A 6,288-nucleotide genomic window follows, 5' to 3' on the forward strand; every position below is an offset into this window, starting at 1 on the left:
GGCGTGGTGGTGCGCGCCTGTAGTCCAAGCTACTGGAGAGGCTGAGGCAGGAGAATCACTTGAACCCGGGAGGCAGAGGTTGAAGTGAGCCGAGATTGCTCCACTGCACTCCAGCCTGGCGACAGTGCGAGACTCCGTCTCAAAAAAAAACAAAACAAAAAAAAAGAGATCCAGAATTCCAGAATTGCAACTGTGAACCAAGAAGTGGGGATGGGTACCTCAGACAAGGCTTTTACCGGAAATTTAGCATATAGGATAGAAAGCAGAGACCAAAGACCTCTTGCTTTGAGGCTGTTGGCGTGCTACAAGGACTCGAAAGTTATTTGTTCAACGGATGACTTCTGTTTTCTGGAGGCAAACTGAATTCCGGGCAGGTGGCTCAGCACCTCCAGCCTGTTCCAGATCGGGACAGGGAAGGTGCCTGGGGCAATCAGTGAGGTTTCCAACCTTCCTTAGGCCTGGGCCAGCCCGCTCCCCTCCCATGTGACCCCAGGCAACCATTTTAATTTTTTTACAGCCAAGCGTAGTGGAGAACTGGCTGCGCGCCGGTTGCCAGGGACGCGGCAGCCAGCTTGGCGGGGCTGGGGTGAAAGAGGACGCTGCGTGGGGGAGGGCTCCGCGGCTTCTGACTGGCTGGAGCATCAGGATTCATTTGCATAATATTTTCTGACGGCTTCTGATTGGCTGAAGCCAGAGGGGCGGTGGTGGGGTGATTCCAAGGGCCCAGAGCTCTGGCCGGCGGACCTTTTCCTTCTGGAGTTTCCCCGGCGGGTGTGAGTTGTTGCGGGGTCTGGGGGAGCTGGGAGGCCCGGTTTGGGAAGTTTTGCAGGCAGGTGCATGAGCCATCTTTCTCTGAAAGTGTTTAAGAAATGTTCAAGAACAGCGGCCAGAGTCAAGAAACTGGGGGATGAAGGGTTATCTCGAGACTAGACGGAAGGAAACGTATCAGGGGAGGGGTGGAGGCCAGAAGGAAGGAGTTAGGTAGGGGCCCTCTCCCAAGCTGGCGTTTTTGCTGGGTGGAATCCTTTTGCTAGATCCCTTGGATTTCCGTTTTCCGTGTGTTATCACACTGTTGGAACTGGGAAGAAGAGAAAAAGAGGCAAGATTTTGGCATTTAGTAAGTTAAGTCTGAATACCGAGTTTTCATCCGGGTGCATACGTACTTAAAATACCAAATGGGTCCAGGAAGGGGGACAAAGTACGCTTTAATTTATGAGAAGATCAGCTACTAGAAACTGTATATCTGTTTTTCTCGAGTTTTCTTCTTGCAGTGCTCTTTCAATCTCATTGGACATATTTTATATTATTTTCCTGCTTAAGCACTGGGGGTTGGGTGGAAGGATCTGTGGCTCATCATAGGCAATTTCCACACTTTTAAGGTTTCTGACTCTTCACATAAACACCTCTCACTATGATGAGGTCCTGTATCAAGTACAATTAATCTTTGTACTTTACAATTTACATAGTGATTTTTATTTACATTATCATATTTAAACTTAATCAAAGTCCTTGGCACGGCCCATGGAACAAGCTCCATTTTTTTGATAAAGAAACTGAGGCTAGAAAAGTTTCTATGTGTGCAGAGAAGGAAGGTGAAATTATTTTAATGCTTCAAAGTTATATAATGCTTCCTGCCTCCCTGTATTTTTCTTTCCATTGATCTTCCTTCAAAACCCTGATAGGTCTATCCCAGTTTTGCAAGTAAGAAAACATGGGCTGTGATGTAGAGCTAATACGTTTTGGGGTAGTGGGTCCTCAGACTTAGGTCTGTCTCCAAGGGTCACTGACTTTGTTTTGTTTTGTTTGTTTTTTGTCAACAGATTAGTCCTTGTGGCACCAAGTCAGAATTTCATTCAAAAGACAATTAGGAAGATGGTTTTCTATGGAAAATATTTAAGTGTAGGTCTTAATGTGAAAGAAAGAGGGAGAGAAAGAAACCCCTTTATTATGTTCTCCCTTCCTTAGGCATTTTTTGTCCCGTGGGAAAAAACTGTACTAGGGACAGAGACCTCTGTTAAGTTTTAGAGAAAAGGGATCTTTTTTTTTTTTATTTGAGACAGAGTCTTGCTCTGTCGCCCAGGCTGGAGTGCAGTGGCACGATCTCGGCTCACTGCAACTCCGCCTCCTGGGTTCAAGCAATTCTCCTGCTTCATCCTCCCGAGTAGCTGGGATTACAGGCGCTGGCCACCACGCCCGGCTAATTTTTGTATTTTTAGTAGAGACCGGGTTTCACCATGTTGGCCAGGCTAGTCTGGAACCCCTGACTTTGTGATCCGCCCGCCTCGGCCTCCCAAAGTGCTGGGATTACAGGCGTGAGCCACCGTTTCAGGCCGAGAAAAGGGATTTAAAATGAGAAGCTTGAATCTTATTGAACATAATTGTAGGACTGCCAGAGAGGACTGGTGGATGAGGAATATGGCAAGGGACATGAGATGGGAAAAATTAAATAGGCTGTGGTTTGGAAGTCTCAAAGTGAAATTCAAGGTGCAAGGCTCTTAAAAGTTAAATCCAGCGATTCGGTACATAGCTTAGGCCCTATTAAATGACCCAGTGCTTTAAGAACTATCTTTTGAAAGGAACACTTCACACAAGCACCCTCAAAAATAATTAGACACCTCCCCATTTCTCTGTTAAATGGTGAAAGACACCCAAGACTAGACCTAACTACTGTCACCCTCTCCTGGCCTCTTGGCAGCCAAAAGGCCACATGGCCCAGGCTCTCCAGCATCACTGTGTAGCCGACTTGGACAAAAATGGACTTCTCCCCATTGCCACTTGCAGATCTCTTCAAAGAATCAGCAGATCTGATAGTGTGCCCCTCTTCATCCCCGGCAACCACTGTTAAAGGAAAGATTGGGAAAGATCCCACCCCGCCAGGAGGGAGGCAAAAGCCTCTGACGCTCCCCTCCCCCCATAGCTGACCAAGGCCAGGGCCACTGCGGGAGCACCGCGCGTCCACGTGCACCCAGCATGCCCGGTCACCCTTTATTACGTAAGAGTCCCAGGATGGAGTTGTACCTGCTGCCGGCCCCTCTTCCCCGACGGCTAATAATAAACCCGGGTTCCTGTTTCCCGGCCGCGGCCACTCCAGATTCGGGGCTGAGGGGCTCACTCTGCAACCAAGGCACGTGCATTCTGGTCATCCCACGCGGGGAGCGCGCGCAAGGCCCGCCCAGCCCCCACATGCCAGCCCCACCCTCCAGTCGGTCCGGACGCCGACGCCTTTTTGACCCTCGCTGTGCCCGGCCCTCCTCATCTGGCCTGCCCAGGGCTTGGTGCTGGCGGGGTCCAGCTGCTCCAATCCCTCCTCCTCTGCTCTGCCCTGCCCTGCCCTGGCCTGCCCCGGCGCCCTCCCTCAGCCCGGGTATCAGGCGAGAGGCGGAGCTGGCCCGGCGCGCCCCGCCCCCGCTGTAGAAAGGGCCGGGCGAGTGTTACTCGCGGTCATCCCGGCCTGGGCCTTTTATCTCGGTGCTGCCGGGGGAGGCGGGAGGAGGAGACACCAGGGGTGGCCCTGAGCGCCGGCGACACCTTTCCTGGACTATAAATTGAGCACCTGGGATGGGTAGGGGGCCAACGCAGTCACCGCCGTCCGCAGTCACAGTCCAGCCACTGACCGCAGCAGCGCCCTTGCGTAGCAGCCGCTTGCAGCGAGAACACTGAATTGCCAACGAGCAGGAGAGTCTCAAGGCGCAAGAGGAGGTGGGTGCCCACGCCCCATCGCTGCCCCGGCCAGCTTGGTTGCTTGAGCTCAGGCTTTTCGGAGGGAGAAGTTGTGGTGGTGGGGGGACACCCTTCTCCCCGCGGCCGTAGGTGGGCGAGGAGGTGGGACTGCCCAGCCGCGGGGAGCCACCCAGGCGCCGTCCCGGACGAGCTGTAGCCAGAGAAGGGGGTGCGCGCGGGCAAGGGCGCCAGGCCCCCTAGCAGGGTGAATAATCTAATCTGTTCTTTCGTCTCCGTGTATCAAACAGGCCAGGGCTCGACCCACAGAGCACCCTCAGCCATCGCGAGTTTCCGGGCGCCAAAGCCAGGAGAAGCCGCCCATCCCGCAGGGCCGGTCTGCCAGCGAGACGAGAGTTGGCGAGGGCGGAGGAGTGCCGGGAATCCCGCCACACCGGCTATAGCCAGGCCCCCAGCGCGGGCCTTGGAGAGCGCGTGAAGGCGGGCATCCCCTTGACCCGGCCGACCATCCCCGTGCCCCTGCGTCCCTGCGCTCCAACGTCCGCGCGGCCACCATGATGCAAATCTGCGACACCTACAACCAGAAGCACTCGCTCTTTAACGCCATGAATCGCTTCATTGGCGCCGTGAACAACATGGACCAGACGGTGATGGTGCCCAGCTTGCTGCGCGACGTGCCCCTGGCTGACCCCGGGTTAGACAACGATGTTGGCGTGGAGGTAGGCGGCAGTGGCGGCTGCCTGGAGGAGCGCACGCCCCCAGTCCCCGACTCGGGAAGCGCCAATGGCAGCTTTTTCGCGCCCTCTCGGGACATGTACAGCCACTACGTGCTTCTCAAGTCCATCCGCAACGACATCGAGTGGGGGGTCCTGCACCAGCCGCCTCCACCGGCTGGGAGCGAGGAGGGCAGTGCCTGGAAGTCCAAGGACATCCTGGTGGACCTGGGCCACTTGGAGGGTGCGGACGCCGGCGAAGAAGACCTGGAACAGCAGTTCCACTACCACCTGCGCGGGCTGCACACTGTGCTCTCGAAACTCACGCGCAAAGCCAACATCCTCACTAACAGATACAAGCAGGAGATCGGCTTCGGCAATTGGGGCCACTGAGGCGTGGCGCCCGTGGCTGCCCAGCACCTTCTTCGACCCATCTCACCCTCTCTCATTCCTCAAAGCTTTTTTTTTTTTTCCTGGCTGGGGGGCGGGAAGGGCAGACTGCAAACTGGGGGGCTGCGTACGTGCAGGAGGCGCGGTGGGGCTGCGTGGAGGAGGGGGCCACGTGTGAGAGAGAAGAAAATGGTGGCCGGAGATGGGAGGGCCCAAGGAACCTCCTGGGAGGGGGCCTGCATTCTATGTTGGTGGGAATGGGACTGGGCTGACGCCCTGCATTCAGCCTGTGCCTTTCCTGGGGTTTCTTTTCTGTTCTTTTCGGAGGAGAGGGCCCGAGAAGGGGCCATACCAGGGCGCGGCGCTGGGTTGCCACACTTGGGAAAGCAGCCCGGAGCTGGGTGCTGGGGAAGGCGGGGCGCGTAGCCTCCCGCCGCCCTGCGGTTGGGCCGGTGGAGGCCCAGGCGTTGCTAGGATTGCATCAGTTTTCCTGTTTGCACTATTTCTTTTTGTAACATTGGCCCTGTGTGAAGTATTTCGAATCTCCTCCTTGCTCTGAAACTTCAGCGATTCCATTGTGATAAGCGCACAAACAGCACTGTCTGTCGGTAATCGGTACTACTTTATTAATGATTTTCTGTTACACTGTATAGTAGTCCTATGGCACCCCCACCCCATCCCTTTCGTGCCACTCCCGTCCCCACCCCCACCCCAGTGTGTATAAGCTGGCATTTCGCCAGCTTGTACGTAGCTTGCCACTCAGTGAAAATAATAACATTATTATGAGAAAGTGGACTTAACCGAAATGGAACCAACTGACATTCTATCGTGTTGTACATAGAATGATGAAGGGTTCCACTGTTGTTGTATGTCTTAAATTTATTTAAAACTTTTTTTAATCCAGATGTAGACTATATTCTAAAAAATAAAAAAGCAAATGTGTCAACTAAATTGGACAAGCGTCTGGTCCTCATTAATCTGCCAATGAATGGTTTCGTCATTAAATAAAAATCAATTTAATTGATTTACTAGCAAAAGTAAATTTTGTGTTCTCTCTGGTATTTCATGGTGGTGGATATTCATCTGTGCAAGTATTTAGCTTTGTTTGGGAACTAGGTACTGACAAAATTTACTTCCAAACTTTATTTCTAATTCAGTACCAAGATAAGACCATACATCTCAACAAAAAGTTCAGAAATATTTAAAATATTTGGGAAGGTACATATATTGTATCTTTCAACCAATTTGGCTAACTTATTGGAGTGCGTAATTAACATTTTGAATTTTTTAAGAAGCTCAAGCACAAGCTAAAGTGTTTTGAGGCATAAAAACAAGGCTGAAATTTCACTTGGTTACTGAGAAGTGAAAATTAGAAGGGAAGACCAGCTAATCCTAGTGCACACACCTTACAGGTTTTTATGTTTATCTGAGTAGACATTTAAATGCATTACAACATGATCGATGACTTCTTTCACTAGTTCCAAAAAGGGCTAAGCTTTGTTGAGCG

The 6,288-nt window shown here is 52.4% G+C and overlaps 1 protein-coding gene and 1 long non-coding RNA gene across 4 annotated transcripts, besides 7 other annotated features; one reads left to right on the top strand and one right to left on the bottom strand.

The window, feature by feature from the left end:
• Nucleotides 442-736: an enhancer, noted in NCBI's record as "tiled region #799; K562 Activating DNase unmatched - State 1:Tss, and HepG2 Activating DNase unmatched - State 1:Tss". NCBI's record gives its function as "activates a minimal TATA promoter and a strong SV40 promoter by Sharpr-MPRA in K562 cells, with weak activation in HepG2 cells {active_cell/tissue: HepG2 | K562}" and the evidence as "EXISTENCE:reporter gene assay evidence [ECO:0000049][PMID:27701403]".
• On the bottom strand, nucleotides 534-3,169 carry MID1IP1-AS1 (MID1IP1 antisense RNA 1). The gene is made up of 2 exons (NR_046706.1): nucleotides 3,019-3,169; nucleotides 534-1,078 (listed from the first exon to the last, which is right to left on the bottom strand). It is a non-coding gene; the product is annotated as an MID1IP1 antisense RNA 1 (long non-coding RNA).
• Nucleotides 745-5,818, top strand: MID1IP1 (MID1 interacting protein 1). Of its 3 annotated transcripts, none has more exons than NM_021242.6 (3): nucleotides 745-773; nucleotides 1,821-3,699; nucleotides 3,969-5,818. In NM_021242.6, exon 3 carries the CDS (start codon nucleotides 4,233-4,235, stop codon nucleotides 4,782-4,784), a length of 552 nt encoding a protein of 183 aa, NP_067065.1. In that variant the 5' UTR covers nucleotides 745-773; nucleotides 1,821-3,699; nucleotides 3,969-4,232; the 3' UTR covers nucleotides 4,785-5,818. The 3 variants fall into 3 exon arrangements, with proteins under 3 accessions (NP_067065.1, NP_001092260.1, NP_001092261.1); NM_001098790.2 differs by having other exon boundaries at nucleotides 3,596-3,699; NM_001098791.2 differs by lacking the exon at nucleotides 1,821-3,699.
• Nucleotides 766-845: an enhancer, noted in NCBI's record as "active region_29522". NCBI's record gives its function as "activates an Ori minimal core promoter by ATAC-STARR-seq in GM12878 lymphoblastoid cells {active_cell/tissue: GM12878}" and the evidence as "EXISTENCE:reporter gene assay evidence [ECO:0000049][PMID:35858748]".
• Nucleotides 955-1,462: an enhancer, noted in NCBI's record as "H3K27ac hESC enhancer chrX:38660922-38661429 (GRCh37/hg19 assembly coordinates)". NCBI's record gives its function as "activates a minimal SCP1, AML or CMV promoter by ChIP-STARR-seq in naive H9 embryonic stem cells {active_cell/tissue: H9 hESC(naive)}" and the evidence as "EXISTENCE:reporter gene assay evidence [ECO:0000049][PMID:30033119]".
• Nucleotides 1,796-2,637: an enhancer, noted in NCBI's record as "H3K27ac hESC enhancer chrX:38661763-38662604 (GRCh37/hg19 assembly coordinates)". NCBI's record gives its function as "activates a minimal SCP1, AML or CMV promoter by ChIP-STARR-seq in primed H9 embryonic stem cells {active_cell/tissue: H9 hESC(primed)}" and the evidence as "EXISTENCE:reporter gene assay evidence [ECO:0000049][PMID:30033119]".
• Nucleotides 2,638-3,479: an enhancer, noted in NCBI's record as "H3K27ac hESC enhancer chrX:38662605-38663446 (GRCh37/hg19 assembly coordinates)". NCBI's record gives its function as "activates a minimal SCP1, AML or CMV promoter by ChIP-STARR-seq in primed H9 embryonic stem cells {active_cell/tissue: H9 hESC(primed)}" and the evidence as "EXISTENCE:reporter gene assay evidence [ECO:0000049][PMID:30033119]".
• Nucleotides 2,638-3,501: a biological region, named in NCBI's record as "H3K27ac hESC enhancer GRCh37_chrX:38662605-38663446".
• Nucleotides 3,282-3,501: a silencer, noted in NCBI's record as "silent region_20737". NCBI's record gives its function as "represses an Ori minimal core promoter by ATAC-STARR-seq in GM12878 lymphoblastoid cells {active_cell/tissue: GM12878}" and the evidence as "EXISTENCE:reporter gene assay evidence [ECO:0000049][PMID:35858748]".
• Nucleotides 5,819-6,288: the final 470 nt, after the last annotated feature.

Source organism: Homo sapiens, chromosome X (genome assembly GCF_000001405.40).
Source record: "Homo sapiens chromosome X, GRCh38.p14 Primary Assembly".
In the NCBI taxonomy this organism is placed as follows: Eukaryota; Metazoa; Chordata; class Mammalia; order Primates; family Hominidae; genus Homo; species Homo sapiens.

Excerpts from the sequence above, each read along its gene's own strand:
- MID1IP1 (NM_021242.6), top strand. The coding sequence starts at position 4,233 with ATGATGCAAATCTGCGACACCTACAACCAGAAGCACTCGCTCTTTAAC.